Source organism: Homo sapiens, chromosome 8 (genome assembly GCF_000001405.40).
Source record: "Homo sapiens chromosome 8, GRCh38.p14 Primary Assembly".
NCBI classification, from domain to species: Eukaryota; Metazoa; Chordata; class Mammalia; order Primates; family Hominidae; genus Homo; species Homo sapiens.
Window position 1 is genome coordinate 20,245,754 of NC_000008.11, and position 22,103 is coordinate 20,267,856.

Genomic DNA, 22,103 nt, shown 5'->3' on the forward strand with positions numbered 1-22,103 from the left:
CTGCCCCACCAGGGGGCCCTGGGGCAGTGGCAATTGTAGCCATGCTGGTCTTTTGCCAGGAGGCCATATGCAGTAGACCCAGGAGTTGGCTGGTGAGGTGAGCAGACGGTAGGGCATGCAGTTTGGGTGGGGAGGGGCTCTCTTTTGGAGAGGACGCTCTGACTCTACATGGACACCTGTCCCTGGGTCCCTTTTCCTCTCATTTCACAGATAAGGTCCCGGGGTAGGCGATGGGGGCAGGGGCCAGCTGAAGCCTGTCTGACCCCGGGGGCCCCTTTCCCACTGCCCTGTGCTGCCTTCCTCACCCCCTTCGCTGGTGGAAGGGACGTCATCTTTCCTGTTCCAAGGGGAGAAGTCCCAGGGAGCTGCCACACCGCAGCGAGGGGAGAGGAGGGCAGATACACGTGGCTCTAGAGGGCGTGAGAAATGGCATTCTTTATTCATAAATAAAAACATAAAATTGCCACAAATAGTTTACATGGCCAAAAAGTGACGTCAAAAATAAAATGAAGCTGTCAAAAGCAAACCAAACCAAACAAGAAACCACAAAGAGAAAAATAACTATGTACATCTTCCAGATGCTGGTCCGTCCCAGCCTGCCTCTGCTGGGGGCTCCAGCTCTGCCTGCAGGCGCAGCACAAAGGCCACCTTGCACAAGAGGTGGGTGAGCAGCCCCGCTGGCCCAGGGGTGCAGCCTCTGTCATGGCAGCACCCACCGCATGATGGCTTGAGGTCTGCAGGGAAATCCCTCTCCCCAAGCTGCTGCTCCTCCAGCCAGGCCTGGCTTAGTTTCGGGCAACTGTCTCACCTAAGAGATGGCCCAGGCTGGGGCCAGGCACAGGAGGCTCACTGAGTGCCTCTCTGGGGAAGAGATGCCCCCATATCCCAGTCCCATGTGAGCTCAGTGCTATAGGGGCTGTGTGTGCCTGGCAGGAGTTCACTGGGAGAGCTAGGAGGGAACCCCGTGACAGTCCAGTCGTTCCCAGGTCCAGGGGCAGAGTCCGATCCTTGGTGAGGTGATGCGGAGTGCTGCTCTCTCCTGCAGGCGTCCTTTGGGGACAGAGCAGGTTGGTCCATCCGAGTGGGTCAGTGGGTCGGCCAGCAGGCGTGCCCAGAGGGAAGGGCAGGAAGCCCACCCTGTCTGGGGCCTGGGGCCAGGCTCTGTGCTTGGAGGCTTCTGCTGTCCAGAGCCTCTTTCCAGAGAGGCAGAATCTGGCATGGTCCAAGAATAGTGAGGGCGCTTTTGGACAGGGCAGGAAAGAACACCCACAGGAAGGTGAGGTTGCAAGGTCGCAGGATACTTGCATTCTAGTGCCACGGTGGGCCACTCTGGGGCGGGGGCTGGTGGCAGCCCAGGGAAGACATCTGCCACCTTGGACGTAGGACAAGGCCTGGGGGGGACACATCTGGGCCGGCCTGGGACAGGGCCATGGAGATATGGAGAAGGCTGCACTCCTCTGTGTATGGAAGGTACCGGGACACCATGGCGGAGCACAGCCTCCGCCTCAGGGCCTTCCCCTGGGTGTGGCAGCCACTTCTTCTCAGGCAACGTCTGAGGCAGAGCACTGGACTCTGACTGCTCTTTCCTGGAGTTGGGGGGGGGTCTCCAGCCTGGGGAGGGGGAGCCAGCCCTTTCCTCTGTCTCCGTGGGGCAGTCTCACTGGGAGGAAAAACTCAAACAAGGCACGGCCTGGTGGAAATGAAGGAACTGAGGGCTGAGGCGCAAGGAATGGGGCATCTTTGACTTGGGTCTGGACTGTGCCCAATGGAGGGTACTGCCCTCAGGCAGGGAGGGACTTTTGGCTTGTAGATTCCAGGTTTAAGCCTAGCTTGGGACTAAGAGCAATGGTTTGAAATTCCAGAAAAGCTCCTCTGTCGTTTGAGGATGGCAGGATGGGCACCGTTTAACCTCAGGGACAGGAAGGTAGAGCCAGCCACAGAAAAGGTGACTCTGGCCTCAGCCCGCACTCAGGGAAGGGCTAGGACCCATGAGGGCGGGGGGCAAGGAGAGAAGCATCTCCCCACCCCTACCTCGGGGTCTCTAAGGGCCAGCGGTGAGCGAGGCAGAAATGGGGACTGGCCTTGGACTCGCAAGTTCCCAGACGCTCCCCTCCTCATCTCAGCAGGCAGCAGGCGCAGGCATGTGGGAAGGGATGCTGTCCTGAGAACAGCAGCTGTGGCTACAGTCAAAAATAGAACATGGAACAGCCTGCTAGGTCTGGCTTGCTTCTGAAAAGACAAGAAAGCAAAAAAGAAAAAGAAAGAAGAATAAAAGAAAAATCTGGCCAGGCACGGTGGCTCACATCTGCAATCTCAGCACTTTGGGAGGCCAAGGCAGGTGGATTGCTTGAGGCCACAAGTTTGAGACCAGCTTTGGCAACAAAACGAGACCCCGTCCCTACAAAAAAAATGAAAAGTTAGCCAGGCACGGTGGCGCGCACCTGTAGTCCCAGCTAGTTGGAAGGCTGAGGCAGGAGGATTGCTTGAGCCCAGGAGTATGAGGCTGCAGTGAGCTATGATCATGCCACTGCACTCCAGCCTGGGGGACAGAGCAAGACCCTGTCTCATAAAATTAAAAATAAAATCCCTGAACCAAACAACAGAGAAACTCCACCTTTTATCTCTCTCTACCACCGCCTCCCGCTCCGCACATCTGCAGAGAAACCCTGGACTCCCTGGGGCACTGCCCAAGCTCCTGAGAAAGGGAGCTGCTCTCTGGATCCTTTAGTCTGGGACAAATGGGGGTCTTGAGGTGGAGGGAGGATGGCTGGTGGCCAGGCTATTCACACTGCTGTGTGTATGCCTCTTTTTCGTCCTGCTTGGGGCTCTGGCTTCCTGGCGCTCTGAGGAGCCGTCCTGACCTCTAGAAACCCAGAACTCAGCCCTGAAGGTGCTAAGGGGGAAAGGTTTGCCGCTAAACCTGGCTGTAGGCAGAGGAGGAAAATGCCCAGATCACATATATGCCATCTTAGTGATATGGGCTCTTCTGGATCAAGCAAAAGCTTGATTCTGGGGAGGGAAAAACATTCCAGAGTAGCCGCCGGCCAACGTGAAGCAGGTAGGGACTCCCAGCCTCTGGCCCCAGCTGGACAGATGGGGAGGCTCCCTGAGGGTGCCTGGAAAGCCACACCCTCTGGTTCACGGTGGTTTCAACCCTCCCTTCCCAGCACCCAGCCCAGGGCCTCAGGGTCTATGGCTTAAAGAAGAGTGGTCACCGAGGTCAAAGGTCACTGGCTGTCCAGAGGCTGCTCAGCTCCCATTTGCAAGAACCAGTAAACAGGGGCTGGGCCCCAGGGGCTGGCCATCACCCGCCACTGGCTCTCAACCCTTGGATTCTCCCTCTGCCCTCCTCTGGCTGTGGCAGGGTCTCCACACTGCTGGGCTGCCTGTCTCTCCCCTCCTTCCTGTGGCTTGCCGGGGCTGGGACAGCCCTGAGGTTTCAAAGCCAGCTTCCCCGCGGCTCATTCCACCCCTACACCTCTGCGGCCAGAGGAAAATAGCTCAGGTTCTGATGGGGCTGGTTCCAAGGCTTCTGGTCATATATGGCTTCTTTCTATTTCCAAGGCATTCCAATGTGTCCAGGAGGAAAAAGAGGTTGGGATGAGAAGCAGAGGGGAGCCGCTGTACTTGCTGTGGCCACCTTCCCTGGAGGAGGGGGAGAGGATATCTATTTCGAACAAAGGCCAAAGTTTAGGGAGCCCTTAACCAAAGCAGACAGACCCCTGGACCCATCTCCTGGGAAAGCCAGAGGAGTCAGGGCCTGACGTCTGGTGGGCTGCAGGGCTGGTGAGCACTGGGACATCAGAGAGGGAAGGAAAGGCCATCCTGCCCTCCCCTCGGGGGTCCTGGGTCTGTGTCCCAGGGAGTGGCGTCTCTCAGAGGGGTCTGAATTGCTGAGCAGGGGGGATGCACGGGAGAGCCCTGCCTCCCAGTGCCAGGTCCCCAGACTCGCCTTCCCAGGCAGCCCCTCAGATCTCAGTGGCTATGATGTCCTCGTAGGGGATGTCAGCCCCTTCCAGGTCAACCTCCAAGGGCTCCCCGGCGCTGTCCCCACGTGCCAGCTGCTGCAGGGCCTTCTCCAGGCGCTGGTTCCGCTGGTACATGGCCACGTAGCTCTGCTGCAGCTGTTTCTGGTACTGAATCACCTTCTCCTTCTCCTCCTTCCACACGAGCCGCTCATGCTGGAAGCCCGAGGACATCTGGTCATGGCCTTGCCGCTCCTCCCGCAGCTCGGCCCGCAGCCGCTCCAGCTCCCGCTGCAGGGCAGGGACGTCCTCGGGGAAGGTGGGCGGCCCCATGTCGCGGGCCAGGGCGGCCTGGGCCCGCAGCTCCTGCAGCTCCTGCTCCAGCAGGTTCACCTTCTCCCGCAGCAGCTCCGCCTCGTTCTTCTTGCGCTGCAGCTCATTCTCACAGACCTCCAGCTCCAGGCCCTTGGTGCGCAGGGCGCCCTCCAGGTCCTGGGTCCTCAGCTCCAGGCCCTCCAGCTTGCCCCGCGTGTCCTTCAGCTGTGCCTTGAGACCCAGGATCTCGCTAGCCTTGGCGTTCACCTCCGTCTGGGACTCCTTCAGCTGCTGCTTCAGGAGGGAGATCTCGCCTGACTTCTGGCACACCTGCCGAGGGTGGGGTGGAGACAGAGTGCCAAGAGGTGAGTGTCCTTACCCAGGGAAGTGACAGCTCAGCTGCCTAAAATAACCAAGCCACTCCGGATGCGGTGGCCCGGTGTTAGGCATTCCAGCCTTTGTCCAATCTGAAAGTAAGCTGAACATTGCTGTGACCTTTTCCCCAGGTTATCGAGCTAGGCTATATAGTAAAATGATAAAATAATAATAATCATGTATAATGACACATAGTATATTATTATTGTTATTATTTGAGAAGTCTCGCTTTGTCACCTAGGCTGGGGTGTAGTGGCGTGATCTTGGCTCACTGCAACCTCCGCCTCCCCTCTGATTCTCCTGCCTCAGCCTCCCAAGTAGCTGGGATTACAGACACCTGCCACCATGCCTGGCTGATTTTTGTATTTTTAGTAGAGACGGGGTTTCCTCATGTTGGCCAGGCTGATCTCGAATTCCTGACCTCAAGTGCTCTGCCTGCCTCTGCCTCCCAAAGTGCTGGGATTGCAGGCGTGAGCCACCACGCCTAGCCACACAGAAGTATATTATTATAAACATACTTTCACTAATAATTTGTAGTGTTATTAAGTGCCAAGCCATACATTTGCTCATCTATTCCTTACAACCCGATGAAGTAGGTACTATTAGTAGTCCTCAATTTACATCAATGAAACTGAGGCACAGAGAGGTTATGATAGCAAATAGCTGGTGAAGTGACCAGCCTGAGGGCTAATATATATATATATATATATATATATATATATATATATATATATATATATAAAATATAAAGTATAAGAGTAGAGATTTGATCCCAACAGTTTAATCACTATACCCCATTGCCACCATGGCTAATGTATTTACAATCACCTGGATCATAAGTGGTCAAGCTGAGGTTCAAAGCCAGGCCCATGCCTCAGCCATGACTGTGTCACTCCCTTCGTGGCATGAATACAGGGTTGGCCTTGGAATGAAATTCTTGGTCCCAAGCACGCATCCTGGGTAGGGTCGGATTTTCTCCAGGACTGTGCAGTGTTTCACTGAGGGCAAGGGGAAATTTCTACTGTGAAAGGAAATGTGAAGGTGGCTTCCAGGCTAGTTCCAAGAATCCATTCTGTAGAGCCACATGCTCTGGACTTCATTCACTCTTAAGATTCAGCCAGACTGGCCTTGGTCTCCCATGACCCCAGATGGCCAAGATCCAGAGACACATGGGTCTAACCTGTGGCTTCGGTTTTCATCATTGCTCTTGGCCAAATTTTGATGGGGGATAGGGGTGGAAATAGAGAAGAAGAGCAAGAGGAGAAGACAATGATTCCTCGTTTGACAGATGTGGATTGGGCTCTGCATCCAAGCCAGCATGATACTAGTCACTGGGTACAGCAGTGAATTTGTGAGGTAGTCTTTACTCCAGTAGACAGGAGAGAGGAGGGCTGGGTGCATGCAGGGGTGAGGTCAGAGGATGTGGGCATAAACGTCGATGACGGAAATCAGGCTGACACCAAAACCAATACCATTGGTGTTAAATGGGGGTGATACAGCTGCCAGCAGTGGGCAAGTTAAACCACTGGTTGTTGACTTGCACATAGCCAGGGGTTTGCGTGTAGACTGAGAGTTGGACTCTGAACTGGGGGTGAGGCAGGCACGTGGACAGACCAAGCTGGGTGCGAGCATGTAAAGAGCCTCAACGATGGGCTTGAACTCCATGAGTCATCCAGACCACCAGGCTGGTGAGAAAAGCTGCTTTCCCACTAATAGATGCAGAGGTTATGGGGTTCTCCAGCACGGTCAGGTACAGATGCCTCATTTCCACGTGTGACCGGGTGAGTGAGTGTGTGTGAGTGTGTAAGTGTGTGAGTGGGGGACTCTTTACTTCCTCTCCTAGGTTTCCATCTCAGCTCACCAAATAGAAGTTCCACTTACACTTCAGCAAGGAGTGGCCACTTCCATCACTGAAACCTGCCACCAATAGGGTCCCTCTTACTAGTGGGTGCAGTCCCTCCCTCCAAAGCAACAAATGCATTCTGTGCTCTCTTGGGCCCCTGGCCCCGCCTGAACTCAGGCACGGCTTGTTCTTCTTCTGAGCCTCCTGGGAGCTGATGGAAGGGAGGTCAGCCCACAGCCTGGCTGGGCCTTGGTCATCTGGCTTCCGGCTTCATGATTTAATGGCTCACTTGGGAAACTGAAATCTAGGAGCCATGAGGGTGATGGTGGGGACAGGAGGAAGCTCAGATGTAAGTCGATCCCCCAACATGGTTTGCAGGGAGCCCCTTCTTTGGGTGATAAAGCCAGCACATTAGCCCCGCTTGCCTGCGCGGTCTGTGTTTGCACGCTATTGGCCGGCACCAGAAGGAGAGGGGGGTACTGGCGCCAAACCGCTGACCACCCAAACCCATGAGCCCTGTGTGGCCTCACCTCCCACTGGGTCTCCTCCAGCGCGGGGCCGAAGCTGGTCTTCTCCCTCTCGTAGGACCTGAGCTTGGTCTCCAGCAGGTCCTGCTCCTTCATGAGGCTCTCGAGCTCCTGCCGGAGCTGCCGCTTCTCCTGCTGAAGCTGCAGTACCTGCAGGTGCAGGACCTGCTGCGCGCGCTGGCTCTTCTGCGAGGCCTGCTTGAGCTTGTTGCCGCCTTTGGGCTCCGGGCCCTCCAGCTCGTCCCTGCAGCGCCGCGGCCGCTCCTCGTAGGCCAGGCTGGAGGCAAGCTCCTTCTCCTCAAAGCTGCGCTGCAGCTTCTGGAGGGCGCCCTCCCTCTCCAACAGCTTCTGCTCCAGCTCCTGGATGCTGCACTCGTCCGTGGAGATGGGGGAGCGGACACACGAGGGGCCCTTGTCTGCCTTGTTCGAGTGGCCCAGCTTGCTACCTCCGTCGGAGAAGGACAGAGCCTTCAGGCTCATCATGTTGCTGTCCTGGAGGACGATGCCCTGGGTGATGTTGTGGGCGGAGCCCCCAAAACGGCTTGTGGGTCCCACGGGTGTGACCAGCGGGTCCAGCTGGTAGCTGCTGCTGGTGCTGTGTGTGGGCAGGCTGGACATGGAGTTCCGGCCGGAGTCTGACAGCGCCCCAGAGCACAGGCCAGGCTTCAGCTCCTGCTCCTTGGGCTTGTCTGGAGGGGCGGGGTGCAGCTGGTGGCTGGCACTCTCCGGGGAGGAGTGCAGGATGGCTCCTGACCGTGGCAGCACAGGCTTGAAGGCTGTGGGCCTCACTGCACCCTTCTCGGAGCCCTGTAGAGGAAAAGGACCGCGGTGACTCATGCCTCCCCTGCGCGCGCATTGCACCCTCCCTCCCCAGGCACGCGTGCCGACCTTGAGCCAGTCTGGGCTCTCTGAGCGCACGCAGCACCCCTCTTGGTCAATTGTCTCAGCAGACCTTGCCTGTTGCTTTGAAGCAGCTGAATGTCATCTCTCTTAGGAAGGAAAAACCCTAATGGCGACTTGGGCACTTTGTTCTATGAAATAGCAACCTGCCACCAGCTTGCCCCAGCCCTCCCGAGGTGATAAATACCATCTTGAGGCTCCTGCTCTAGGTCTCTGTGTGGGGCAAGTTAGGGCATCAGGCTGGCCGAGCTTGCTGTCCCTCTTTAGGTCCATCCCTTCTTCCTGTTCACTGCCTCTTCCATTAAGCCTGGAGCAAGGACACGGACCTGGCCTCCTTACAGGGTTGGGAGGCTCACTCCAAATCACGATCCTTTTTTAAAACTGTAATTTTCCCTGGTAGAGTGCTTCACAGTTTACAAGCCCCTTAATTTGAAAAGCTGAATGCTCTATGCAAACATAAGAGGCTCTTTCCTAGTAAATCAAAGCCGGGGATTCATTTCCCCAGGGCAAGGGGCAGAGGACTGAATAGGAAAATTGATTTCAGTGTCCACTCGTGGGACGCACGAGGGCTTGAGCTGGTGTGAGGGCTGGATTTCTCAGTGCCTGGGCCTCCTTTGCCCTAATCTCTGGTAAATGGATGACAAAACTCCAGCCTGTATTCAAAGATGCCCCCAGGCGCAGCTTGAACAAGGAGCTAATGCACACCAGGGCAGCAAATGAGAAGACCGCACCCACCCCCACGAGTCTCCCGGGGAGAGAAGCGGTTAACTCCCGGCCTGCATCCTCTTCATCTGTGCTTCCAGATGAGAACAGGGCTCCCTCTCCTTCCCGAGGCTTGGCAAACGCCTGGATCCTACGTTGACAATCCAGCTACATTTCAGTGGGACTCCAGAAAGCTCACATATCCCCTGTGCTCTTTGCTTATGGCCTGACCCAAGACTTCTGCTTCAGGGGGACTGAGCGATGCTCTAATTCCTTTGTGAAACGTTTGATCTCTGCGGTGTGGCCACAGGCTTCCGCCGGCACCCCTGCCGCTCTGGTTTTGAGGAGTCTGAATGCTCAGGTCACCACTCCCCCTGAACCCCCAGGCTCTCCACCCCCATTTTGCTTTCTCCTGCGTTTCCAACCCACTTACCCTTGCCAGCGACCCCCGCTTACCATTTCTAGCTGATTGGAGAAGGGCATGAGCTTGGGGGGTGTGGACGGGTCAAAGTCCACCCCAGCCTGGCCCCCTAAATCCCCGCTGGACAGTGCCGTGTAATCTGGGTGATGGGAGCCCCGGGCTTTCTGGCTGACCTTGATGTAGAAGAAGTCTTCGCTCTTGCCCATTTTGGAGCTGGACTTGCCGTGACCGGAGTCCTGGGAGAAGCCAAACCTCAGCAGCCCGTCGGAATACCGGTTGAGCTTCTTGAGGTGGGAGGACTTGCGCAGCTTGTACTGCGAAGCCCGGCAGTGCTTGCTGTGGAAGCTGTGGCCGGAGATGAGGCTACTGACGCTGCCCATGGTGACTCGGGGCTGAGGATGGGGCAGGGCCGGGCAGGGTCTTGGAAAGGCTGTGGCAGCAAGGGGCAGTCGTGGCTCCGTGAGGGGACTGAGGTCATAGCAAAGCCCTCACAGAGCCTGCGAGAGCCGTAGACCTGGAAGAAGACACAAGACAGAAGTCAGCGTGGGTGGGAGTGGTCACAGCACAGTGCTGATTCCGACTTCCAGATCTGGGCAGTAGAGAAACACATGTCAGAGCCCAGCACTGTCTCCACCACCGGGTGCTCCGTTCCTTCTTCCTTTGTCTGATAATTCAACAAACATTCACTGGGAGCCCACTTCATGCAAGCCTCTACTCTAAACACTCGGGACCCAGCAAGTGACTAAAACAGTCACAGTCCCTGCATTCCTGGAACTTAGGGTTACAGTGGTGTGGAGAGGCCAGAAGCAAACCAATGTATACTATAGCAAGTGGTACCAGTGCTGCGGGTACCAGTGCTGCGGGTACCAGTGCTGCGGGGGAAACTGGAGCAGAGAGGACAGAACAGAATTCTGGGAGGTGGCTGTTTTATGCAGGAAGGTCTTCTTTTGTTAGGGTAGCATTTTAAAAGGCTTCAAGAAAATGAGGGGGCAGCCAGGCATGATGGTTCACACCTGTAATCCCAGCACTCTGGGAGGCTGAGGTGGGCAGATTGCTTGAGTCCAGGAGTTCGAGACCAGCCTGTGCAACTTAGAGAAACCCCATTTCTACTAAAAATACAAAAATTAGCCGGGCGTAGTGGTGCACACCTGTAATCCCAGCTACTTGGGAGGGTGAGGTGGGAGAATCGTCTGAGCCCCGGGGATCAAGGCTGCAGTGAGCCACAATTGTGCCACTGCACTCCAGCCTGGGCCTGACTCAAAAAAAAAAAAAAAAAAAAAAAAGAAGAAGAAGAAAAGAAAATGAGGTGCAAGTCATATGAAAATCTAGGGGGAGAGGGGTACCAGAAGAAACCCCAAGTATAAAAGCCTGAGTCCCTGAGGCAGAGGGGGCTTGGCTGTGTGAGACCCACATGGGAAGCAGCCTGGCTGGAGAACAATTAGCAAGGCTGGGAAGGAGAAACAGAAACCAGGAGCCAGCAGACATCAGAGAACAAGGAGGCTGTGCAGCTCAAAGAGCTCTGGCTTTGCTTGGGTTGAGACAAGGAGCCCCTGGATGGCTTTAAGCAGCTGACACCTTGATCTGCCTTAGGTTGGGGAAGGTCACTCTGGCTTCCGGGTGGGGAAGAAGCTTATTGAGGAGACGGGGGATAGAAGTGGTGGCCAATTACAGGCTAATAGTCTAGGGTGGTAGTTGTGGATTTAGATGTGGTGGTGGCTCACGTCTGTAATCCCAGCATTTTGGGAGGCCAAGGCAGGAGGATCACTTGAGGCCAGGAGTTCAAGACCAGCCTGGGCAACACAGTGAGACCCTGTCTCTAAAAAACAGTTTTCAATGTAATTTTGAGGTTGAGCTGACAGGACTTGCTAAAGGATCAGATGTAGGGAGTGAGCGAAAGAGAGGAGTCAGGGACAATGCCAAAGAGAGGAGTTTGGTTGAAGACATTCAGTTTGCAAAGCCTATTTGGCATCCAGGGAGTGATGGAGAGTAGGCAGGAGGGTGAGTGGGCAGCTGCTGGGAGCTGCAGATGCACTTGTCAGAGCTGGGAGTGTGGAAGTGGCTATGAGACTAGATGGGGTCACCAAAGAGCGGATGCAGAAAGACAAGAGAGGCCTGAGGATGGTTAACATGGAGCACTCGGCATCTGGAGGTCAGGCAGGTTAGGAGAAGTGAAAAAGAGCAGCAGAGAAGGTTTTCAGGGTGATGTCGATATAGAAGACCTAAGAAAGCCAAGTCAAGAAATTGTTTCCTAAAAATGGTGTCAAATGGCCAGGCGCAATGGCTCAAGCCTGTAATCCCAGCACTTTGGGAGGCCAAGGTGGGCAGATCACTTGAGGTCAAGGGTTTGAAACCAGCCTGGCTAACATGGTGGAACCCCGTCTCTACTAAAAATATAAAAAATTAGCCAGGCAAATTGGGCATGGTGGCACGCACCTGTAGTCCCAGCTACTGAGGAAGCTGAGGCATGAGAATAGCTTGAACCCAGGAGGCGGAGGTTGCAGTGAGCTGAGATCACGCCACTGCACTCCAGCCTGGGCAACAGACTGAGTTCCTGTCTCAAAAAAAAAAGTTGTCAAGTGCTGCTGAAAGTAAGATAACAATTGAGAATTAGTCAATGCATTTGGCCATGTGGAGATCTTTGGTAACCTTGACAAGAGCAGTTTTGGAGGAATGGTGGAAGGAAGGCCTCATTGAGAAGATTCAAGAGAGAAAGAAGGAGAAAGTCATTACAGCCTTAATGTTGAGAAGTACCCAGCCGACTTGGTGTGCATTCTAGTTACATCACCTGCCAGCTATGACATGGAAGGTAAACTGTTTAATATCTTTAACCTTCAGTGTTACAAACTAATTCTAAGACACCCTTAAACTTTTTTTTTTTTTTTTTTTGAGATAGAGTCTCACTCTGTTGCCCAGGCTGGAGTGCAGTGGCATGATCTTGGCTCACTGCAACCTCCACCTCGCGGGTTCAAATGATTCTCCCACCTCAGTCTCCCACATAGCTGGGATTACAGGTGAGCACCACCATGACTGGCTGGCTAATCTTTGTATTTTTAGTAGAGATGGGGTTTTCCCATGTTGGCCAGGCTGGTCTCGAACTCCTGACCTCAGGTGATCCACCTGCCTAGGCCTCCCAAAGTGCCGGGATTATAGGCGTGAGCCACCGGACTGGGCACATTTTTTTTTTAAAGTAATAGGATAGCATCTAATAATCAATGCTTAAACAATAACAACCTTGTCAGTCACCAGACAGGAGAAATTGGGATGTCAGTGCCAGCACATGTGCAGATTCAGGCAAATCTCTAAGTTTAGATCACACAATTTTCAAAGCTAGGAAAGGTTGGTGATTGTCATGCACTGTGAAGTATTTCTTAGTCAAAAGACAGATATCCAATTAAGAAGGGGAAAGCCACAAGTTTAATAAAACAGGAGATGTGGAAGGAGCCTCTGTTCTTCGCTGAGCTCTAAATTATACCATCCATCCTAAAGGGGCTAAAGAAATCCCAGGTGGGACATGGAGAACTGCATGGGCACAGCTGAAAGGGAGCCAGAAACTTTCTGACTCTGTTTTTTAATTTTAATTTTATTATATATATATTTTTTACAATTAGCAGTTGTGCATGGAGACTCTGTGACTCTGAATATCTAGGCTTCGATTCAAACTTGCGTTATCATCCTGAAGAATAAAGAGGTTATGTTATGAATATGTTCTATATTTTGTTAGGAAAAGCATGACACAACAAAACTTCGTTGTGTAAGTTTAATATGTTTTGATGTGAAAAGCTTTTATTGAATTGATGGCTTTGTATACTCGAGGAAATACAGTGAAGCAGCCTACCTCATAGGATCGTTATGAGAAATTTAAGAAATACCACCATAAGATAACAGCTCTGGAACATTTACTCAATACTTAGTACATAGTGGGCACTCAATAAATGCTAGGCAGTGTTATCGGTATCTGTTACTTATATTGTGACCATTGTCCTTGCCAACATCCATCATCCCTATGGATCTGGGGAGCCTCAATGTCCAAACTCACTTTCCAGAGCTAATCCTTTCCTTCTAAATGCAACCTTTCTGCCTCCCATTCCTGCGAGGTGTGACTTAGGAGCACAGGGTGGCTCTGCTGATATAAACTTGACACTGACAAAATGTGTTTTCATCCCCCTAGGTCATCCATCCCTAGCTTAGCTAACACCTCTAGTTCCTATGGGGCGAAAATACTACTCTGGTCCACATGCAGGGGTGTCATTTTGGGCCAAAAGACCCTCCCGTGCTCTGCGCAATATGCTCAGCTCCTCCTTTTTTTGCCATGCAATACACATTGCCGAGCAGCTGTACCTGCAGGGCTGTACAGACCAGACCATCAGCTGTGGCATCGGCAGGAGTTTGATTTGAAAATCAATCTCTCTGAGGTTTCTTCATTTACAAACTGAAAATATTAATATTAAATAGGAACATTAGGGAGCCGAAACAAACAGAAGGAAAATACAAGGCCTGGCATGTAGTAGGCGATCTACAGATGTGTGCACGATATGTGTTGCCTTCAAGCCTATGACACCGCTGGAGGCTATTGACAGTATCAGTGCATCGGTGCTAAATGAATCTGTTTATGGTTCTCATCCATCTCCTCTCACCTCCATCTCCTCTCACCTGGGCCTTGAAGGAGCCTCCCAATGTCTTTCCCCAGTCTGTTCATCAGACACATCTGAAGCGTCCAGGTCATAGCACTTCCTAATGGGAACCCTTCCAGTCTTCCCACTGTGTTAGAGTACAATGCGGACTCCTCACCTTGTCCCGCCATGTCCCAGGGACAGACACACTCATCTCTTTCCTGGTGGGTGAACATACGAAGTCTTGACCCATCCAGGAGACTCTGCACTTGCTGCTGCTTCCCCTGCCTGGAATTCTCCTCCTTGGGCTCTTCACATACATCAGCCTTTCTCATTTTCTAGTTCTCAACTTGAGTCTCATGTCTGCAAGGTGGCTTTCTCCAGTTAATCTTGAAACCCTTGCATCCCTCCCCGATTACTTTCTACCAACCTGTTTATTCCCTGTGTAAGGCTTGCTCTCACCTGTACTAATCTTATTATTTTTTATTTATTTTTAAATTTTAGAAACAGAGTCTCATTCTGTCATCCAAGCTGGACTGCAGTAGGTAACAGTGATCACAGCTCACTGCAGCCTCCAGCTGCTGGGCTCAAGTGATCTTCCCACCTTAGCCCCAGAGTAGATGGGATGACGGCACATACCATTACTCCTGGCTAATTAAATAATTCTTTTGTAGAGACAGGGGTCTCGCTGTGTTGCCCATGCTGGTCTTAAACTCCTGACCTCAAGCTATCCTCCCACCTTGGCCTCCCAAAGCACTGGGATTACAGGTGTGAGCCACCACACCCAGTCATATCTTATTTTATTGATGATTGATTGACTGATTGATTTTTAATTGAGACAGAGTCTCACTCTGTCACCCAGGCTGGAGTGCAGTGGCATAATCTCAGCTCACTGCAAATTTAGGGTTTATTGTGTGTATCTCTACCAGAATCTGAGAGTAAAGGTTTTTGTATCTAGAGCTCCTAGAACAAAAAAAGGGAGGCTAAGGCACAGACTCACAAGGTGGGATGCCGTGGCCCTGGCCACTCAGTGACCAGTGACAGAGGTGGGATTCGAACCCAGGCCCAAATGCCACAATCTCCATGCTAAAATCGCACGCTGCAATTGGGGACTGTAGGTGAGGCCCAGAGATGTTAGGGTTTCTGTCCCAGATAGCAAAATGAGCTTCCTGGGTTAGGGAAGAGGAAGCCTAGAGGAGGAATCAAAAGCAGACTTCTCTAGCCGAGCTTCATTTCCCTTTTGGGCCAATGCCAACAAGATTGTAGGCACTCAGAAGCTGTGTCATTCACCTGGGCAGCAGCCCTGTGCTGCATCCTAGAGGGTCAAGAGGTAGAAGATGGACAATGCCAGGAGCCCAGGAGAGGGGTGACTGAAGAATGGCCACCTCCAGTCCTCCTGAGAGCATTCCTATCCCTTAGCCCCGATACCCAGCTGGCCACTCCCCAGGTCTTGACACACAGAGGAGCTTTGAAGTTTGAGGAGAGTTTGGGATCCACTTGAAGCTAAGCTAATCACCTTTAAGTGTCTAGACTTGTTTCACTGTCAACTTGGAGAGAGCATTACACAAAACTCGGCTGTGTTCCATCCTGGTTCCCAAATCCATCTTCTCACCTGCCCCCGTCCAACCTGCTGTCTCTGCCCTCCATAAGGACAGGGTCAACAGACACATTTTTATTTCTGGGAAACAAATTCCTACTGACTGGGAGCACGTATTTGGGGTGAAAATAAGAAATCACATAGATGTTGGGGATTCAGGAAGGGGACAGGAGGAGGGAAGAAGGATGGAGAGAAGGTAAAGGAACCACAGAGCCTCACACTCCACATGGCATGCTACGTGAGCTCCTACAGAAGGAATCCAGCTAGAGTTGGACTTTAGACCTTAAGAGAAGAGAGAAAAAGAGAAAAGAAACCCAAAGCAGCTGGGACCATCCAGCCTACCCTTCTCAGAATCTGGCCCCAGGACCAGTCCCAGCCCTCACACCCCTCCCTGACATGACCTCCCCTCCACTAGCCCACCTGCACTGTGGATGGCTGCTCCACCAGGACGGGGAGGGGCCCGGGATATTGCAGAAAGCCCTCACTTTTGAGCGGCTTCTACTCAAAAGTAGTGGGAGCACCTGAGCTGCCCCATCCCCAGCCCCCTTCTGCATTCTCCCTCCCAAAGGAAACCAAGGCTCAAGGCAAAGTGACACCTGCCTCTGATGGTCCCTTTCTGGAATGTGGAGAGAGAGGCATGGAGTTGCAAAGTGTCTTTCTGGATGCAGAGAGATGTGAACTAACCTGACTCATCGTCTCATCCCAAACCAACAGTCTGGCTTCCCATGAGTTGAAGCAGCTATGCCTTGGCCCACGCCAAGTCCCGGGTTCTGGCTGGGAAAGGAAGTGGAGGATTCACACACGCCCTCCTCCTCCTCTGCCGCCATGCAGTGAGCAGGGGTCACTCCCCCAGCCGGAGATGTTCAGCCTCCAGCCACCCCGCCTCCTGCCTCCTCCCTCCCACTCAGCTTCTGTTATTTCCCCTCCTGCTCCCTGACATCCTTCCCTCCTTCTCCCCCTCTCCGTCCCACACCTCCTCCCCTAAGCTGCAAAGAGCAGGGGGAAAGCCCACCAGCACTCAGCGGTGAGCTCACGGCTGTGCTGTGCTTCTGGCATCTCTGCAGTCTGCACTTGCCCCTCTTTACCCCATCCATTCCCCCCCAGAACTTTTGCCCTTTGCAGGCCCACAACGATGCAAAGTGTTGTGCTGGCCACTCCCCAAGCCCACCCAGCCAAGTGTGTCCTGAATAACTGCTGTGCCAAGTAGCCTGTTGGCAGGACTGAGCTGATGGGGCTGCACTGTGGGGGAACATTTAGTCATTTCTTCAACAAATATTTATTCAGCATCTGACATGGGCTAAGTACTGTGCAAAATGTAGAGGATCAGGTGGGGAAGAGGGGAGGGGAGAAGGAAGGAGTATATTTAGTGAATGGTAGATAAAAGCCAGAGAGACAGGGAGGACAGGTGTGTGAGTGTGTGTTCATGTGTGCACGTCTTTGTGTGTGCATGTGTGAACGTGTGTGTGTATACGTGTGCATGTGTGTCTACTACTTTAGATGGAGTGGCCAGGAAAGCTTCTGAGAAGATGACATTCGAGAAGAGCCAGCCTGATAAAGTGGTTTTGTAAAATGATGCCCTTATCGGGAACAGCATGTGCAAAGAAAGGTGCTGAGGTCTGTATGAACTTGGGCTTGGTGTCAGAGCAGCAGTTCTCAAATGGGGGTAATTTGGCAGGACCTGGAGACAAGACATTTTTGCTTGTCATGATGGGGGTGCTACTGTTATTCCATGAGTAGAGGCGAGCAATGCTGTTAAACATCCTACAATGAATGCACATGACAGCCCCACGACAAAGAATGATTTCACCCAAAATGTCAACGGTTCTGTGGTTAAGAAACTTGGTTTGGGGGGAAGAGGAGGAAAATATGAGTTTAAAACCCCAGTTGAGTCACTGATTCAGTGTGACCGTGGACATGCTACGTAACCTCTCTATGCCTCAGTTTCCTCACTTGTAATATGAAGGCAACCATACTGGCCCTGCCACATGACTTCAGTAGGGAGAGGAAAAGAAGTAGGAGCTTAGAAACTATTTTGAAAAGTCCCCATTGCTGGTCATTGTTAGTATTCTTTCTCATTATTATTCCCCAGAAGAGCTCTCTGAGATGCTCTGTTGATTTGAGAAGAGCTGCGGGGCTGGACTCCCAGGGCAGAAGCTGGCCTGGCCACAGAGGTCTTAGTGCCACTGCCTACCCCACGACCGCCTTGAACTTGGAAGCAGGCGGAGACTGGGCGGGGAGATGTGGGTCTTCCCTTCACTGGTGCAGAGCCTCGAGGCCCCTCTGGGCTCAGTTTCCAACCACAACACGAGGGTCTGGATTCATTTCAGTCTTTTTTTTTTTTGAGACCTCTTAAGAATTTAATGAGAGCTGTCAACCCCCTCTTCAGAAAAACGCACCCTCCTCCAACATTTTGGCTCTGACTTCTAAGGGTTTCCTGACCCCTAATGCCCCTTGATTGACCTAGTTTAAAAACATTCATACATCCTGCTCTGGAGGATAGAACATGAACTTTGGAGAGGAACAAATAACGTGGTCTTGGATTACTGACTTCACTTTAACGACTCCCTGCTTCCCTTCAGGAGCTGGAGAGACCATTGGAAGTGAAACTAAAGCAAATGCCTTGCATCCTCTCAAGGCAGCCCCATCCCTCCACACAGACTCCAGCCTGCAGCCGCTCCAATCCCCAAGAGGTGGGCGGACCTTAGACCACTCAAAGTGGGGCGCGGGGTGGAAGAAGGGGTCTGGGTGGTCAGAGGGGCAGGCCCTCTGGACTGGCAAGCAGGGCTCAGGGAACAGTGTCTCCCGAAGGCTCGCCTGATGCTCATCGGACACCCCACAGGGCAGCTTCCTTTTCCTTGTGTTTAATAAATTTTTGAGATATGGAAATATGTACAAAAATAACCCAAGTACCCCGTGCAGAATGGACAATTGTTAAAATGTTGCCATATTTGTTTCAGAAATGAAACAAACATCTCAGAGCTGGAGTCCCCATTCCCTATTCCTTCTCCCCACTCCCACCCCTAATCTCTCTCCCCAGGTGGAAAATTCTCATGATTTGAGTGGGAACATTTTTGGATCATTAAACATATTTTAACGTCTATGAATGCTATATGTTTTTTACTTTACATAAGTCATATCATGTCATATATATCATTCTGCAACCTTAATTGTTTTATTCGACCTTTTATTTGATACTTCGGATCCATGCATATTGACAGCATGTAGAGCTAGATCTTCCCATTTACCTGCTGTGTAATATTCCACCTCATTTCTTTTACTATTCCCTACTTAGATGTTTCCATTCTGTTGCAAAAACCCTCTTATATATGATTATTTTTCCACGTATGAAAGCTTTACTAAGATTTATTTTATTGGGGGTCTCAGAAGCTGTCAGTTTTTAAAGCCCCGTTCCTTAAACTGTGCAGGAGAGACGACATCTAGGACCTCTATTAGCCAAGATATCAAAGGAAGGCAGCGGCAGTGAGACAGAGAGCCCCTGAGTCACAGTTGGCTGTGTTACCCTGGGGGAGGGGAGGAGAAGTTGCTGTTACTCAGAAGAGGGGCACTGGCAGAAATGAGGCCCAGGGAGGAGCCCTGTGACCAGGTGTGGTGAAGGAGCTTTGGCTGAGCAGAGGGGTTGACCTGCTGCAGGTACAGAGGAGCCCCCTGCTCTGAGGCAGCCTGGAACTCGAGGCACAACCAGCCAGGCAGGACCTCGGCCGTCCTCTGCCCCAAATGCTTCACTACACCCTGAGGCCAGAGCGGAAAAGGGATTTGCCAAGCTCATATCACAAATTCCAGGCTCCAACCCTTTATTCTGTCTATTTGACTAACAGGACAGGGACAACTGGGTTTCATTTCCAGCTGAGGGGAAGAGGGAAACGGGAGAAAGAGCAGCCCCTGATCTACCAGGGCACGTGTGGAAAGGGGGGATGTGGGGTGTGTACGTGTGTGTGTCAGTTTGTCTGATACAAATGGGAGTTCAGCCTGTTGGGCTCACGGTGCTGCTTGAATCAGAGAGGGTCACCCTGTGGGTTCAAGTGCTGGGAAGGCAGAGGAGGCTGCAGCTGCTGTCCCAGGTCGGGGAGCAAGCTGTCTGCAGGAATGGCTGGTAGGTTGCCGGGCAGGGATCAGAGTTCTGCCTGTAGCTCTCTCCTTCCCACTGGGGCGGCATCACCAGCCCAGGGTAATTTCTAATCTTAGCCATGGGAACCACGCCTTCGCTTTTTCATGCTCAGTTCCATCTGTGCAACCTGGAGCACTTCACACTCACTATTATTCATTCACATTGTCCCCCAGGGTAGCGGCATGGCAGGCATCGTGTTGACTGCAGAGAAAAAGAGGAGCAAGGCCTCTCATAAAGAACTTGCATCTCAGCTAGGCATGGTGGCTCATGGCTATAATCCCAACACTTTGGGAGGCCAAGGGAGGAGGATGGCTTGAGGTCAGGAGTTCGAGACCAGCCTGGGAAACACTGTGAGACCCTCCCTGCCATGTCTACAAAAGATTTTTTAAAAAAATGAGCCAGGCACAGTGCCACAATGCCTATAGTCCCAGCTATTTGGTAGGCTGAGGTGGGAGGATTGCTTCAGGCTAGGAGTTGGAGGTTGCAATGAGCTATGATCATGCCACTGCACTCCAGCCTGGGCAACAGAGAGACTCTGTCTCAAAAAAAAAAAAAAAAAAAAAAAAAAGGCAGGGGAGAAAACAACCCCTGAATCTCACCATGAAACCTCAGCTTCCTTTCCAAGAAAGAATACAGCCCTGTTTCAGGCCTGGCTCCCATCTCCCTGCTCTGCGCAGAGGGCAGGAAGTTCCCTTGGCCACAGTTGCTCCTCAGTGCTCAGCTCCCTTGGCCCTCAGCCTGCACAGCTCTTGCATCATCTAACTTTTCAGGGGTGAAAGTCTGTCACCCCACTTATCTTTAAACCCCCTTGAAGGCAGATAGCACTAAAGCTTCTTTGTATCACACACAGGGTCAAACACAGTACTAAGAACATAATAGATGCTCAACAATTTTTTTTTTTTTTTGGAGACAGAGTCTCACTCTCTTGTCCAGGCTGGAGTGCAGTGGTGCAATTGTAGCCCACTGCAACCTCAACCTCCAAGGCTCAAGAGATCCTCCTTCCTCTGCCTCCCAAGTAGCTGGGACTACAGGTATATGCCACCATAACTGTCTAATTTTTAAATTTTGTGCAGAGACAGGGCAGGGCTTGCTATGTTGCCTAGGCTGGTCTCAAACTCCTGGGCTCAAGTGATCTTCCTGCCTTGGCCGCCCAAAGTGCTGGAATTACCAGTGTGAGCCATCACACCTGGCTCTCAATAAATATTTTTAATAAAACCAGCTCATAAGGAGGCACAGGGACTACTGACCTAGTTCACAGAAGGGAAGCTGAGGCTCTGGGAAGGCATGTGACTTAAACTGAGGTCTCCACATATGCAGATACCGAAGCCAAGTCTATACTACCAGAACCCAAATCTGGTTTTCACTCAAACATTCATCATGTAGACTTTGAGACAACTGGTCACCTGGGGGAAGTGCATCCACCCCCTTCCTCAACAACCAATCCTGTTCGGCGTTTTGGACCAAGACAAAAAAAAAATACAAGGCAGAGTTTCTGTTTTTGAGGATCTGGTGGAGAGATCTGACAGCTATGTACACCTAAACAAAAAGGGTTTAAAAAGCAGCATGAATTTAACCAAAAATGCAGCTTTCTTAGGAATGTGCTGAGTTAGAGCCAGTTTGTCTCTGCCCCTAGCATGTGAGCGGTTTTTAATTTTTTCTTTTGTAGGAAAGGAGGTGAAAGTTACTCTCTTGGCCAGGCATGGTGGCTCACACCTGTAATCCCAGCACTTGGGGATGCCAAGGTGGGCAGATCACCAGAGGTCAGGAGTTCAAGACCAGCCTGGGCAACATGGTGAAACCCTGTCTCTACTAAAAATACAAAAATTAGCCAGGCATGGTGGCGCGCACCTGTAGTCCCAGCCACTCAGGAGGCTGAGGCCGAGGAATCACTTGAACCCAGGAGGCAGAGGTTGCAGTGAGCCAAGATCGCACCACTGCATTCCAGCCTGGGCAACAAAGTGAGACTCCATCTCAAAAAAAAAAAAAAAGAAAAGAAAAAAAAAGAAAACAGCTACTCTCTTATCCGCCTCACCTCTCAGGCACCCTGGTGGAGGATGCTGTCTGGGCTGTCGGGTCCCCTGGTTTCTGGCATCGTCCTTGTGTTCTTTTCCTCCTGCTTCTTTGTCCCCAGGGTGCTGAGAGCCCAAGAGTGTAGACCTGGTCTCCATGTTGGGGGCTGGATAGCAGAGGTGCGGGAGTTGGGGTAGGAGGGCGGTGCTGCAGTCAGGGAACCAGAGCTCTAATTCTGGTGCTGCCTCACTCCTGCTCTGGGACACTCAACCCACTTACTGGGCCCTGCCTACTCTTACATGTGGCCAGCACAGTTGTAGGGCCTTAGGAGGAAACCATCAGTCATCATTCATCAGAACAGACACTTGTTTTTTTGCTTGTTTGTTTTTTGAGACAGAGTCTCACTCTGTCGCCAGGCTGGAGTGCAGTGATGTGATCTCGGCTCACTGCAACCTCTGCCTCCCGGGTTCAAGTGACTCTTCTGCCTCAGCCTCCCAAGTAGCTGGGACTACAGGCGCTCACGCCACCATGCCCAGCTAATTTTTTTATTTTCAGTAGAGACGGGTTTCACCATGTTGGCCAGGATGGTCTCGATCTCTTGACCTCATGATCCACCCGACTCGGACTCCCAAAGTGCTGGGATTACAGGTGTGAGCCACTGCGCCCGGCCCAGACCTCACACTTGGCACACACTTTACTTGCATGTTTGCAT

At 52.2% G+C, this 22,103-nt stretch overlaps 1 protein-coding gene across 6 annotated transcripts in view, besides 3 other annotated features; it reads right to left on the reverse strand.

Moving 5' to 3' along the window:
* LZTS1 (leucine zipper tumor suppressor 1) overlaps positions 412-22,103 on the reverse strand; it is a 57,799-nt gene continuing 36,107 nt past the window's right edge. For 4 of the 6 annotated variants that reach the window (NM_021020.5, XM_047421309.1, NM_001362884.2 and 1 more), the window contains exons 2-4: positions 9,084-9,562; positions 7,029-7,832; positions 412-4,610 (exon numbers count right to left, since the gene is read on the reverse strand). In NM_021020.5, coding sequence (NP_066300.1) covers positions 3,969-4,610; positions 7,029-7,832; positions 9,084-9,428 — 1,791 coding nt within the window. In that variant the 5' untranslated portion in view covers positions 9,429-9,562 and the 3' untranslated portion in view covers positions 412-3,968. Of the gene's footprint in view, positions 4,611-7,028; positions 7,833-9,083; positions 9,563-15,939; positions 16,088-21,413; positions 21,740-22,103 lie in introns of those variants that run through there. The other 2 variants (XM_011544386.3, XM_011544384.3) reach the window with 2 other exon arrangements.
* Positions 3,271-3,812: an enhancer, noted in NCBI's record as "H3K4me1 hESC enhancer chr8:20106535-20107076 (GRCh37/hg19 assembly coordinates)". NCBI's record gives its function as "activates a minimal SCP1, AML or CMV promoter by ChIP-STARR-seq in primed H9 embryonic stem cells {active_cell/tissue: H9 hESC(primed)}" and the evidence as "EXISTENCE:reporter gene assay evidence [ECO:0000049][PMID:30033119]".
* Positions 3,813-4,356: an enhancer, noted in NCBI's record as "H3K4me1 hESC enhancer chr8:20107077-20107620 (GRCh37/hg19 assembly coordinates)". NCBI's record gives its function as "activates a minimal SCP1, AML or CMV promoter by ChIP-STARR-seq in primed H9 embryonic stem cells {active_cell/tissue: H9 hESC(primed)}" and the evidence as "EXISTENCE:reporter gene assay evidence [ECO:0000049][PMID:30033119]".
* Positions 9,579-9,762: a silencer, noted in NCBI's record as "fragment chr8:20112843-20113026 (GRCh37/hg19 assembly coordinates)". NCBI's record gives its function as "represses an EF-1alpha promoter that drives an FKBP-Casp9 reporter gene in an ReSE screen in K562 erythroleukemia cells {active_cell/tissue: K562}" and the evidence as "EXISTENCE:reporter gene assay evidence [ECO:0000049][PMID:32094911]".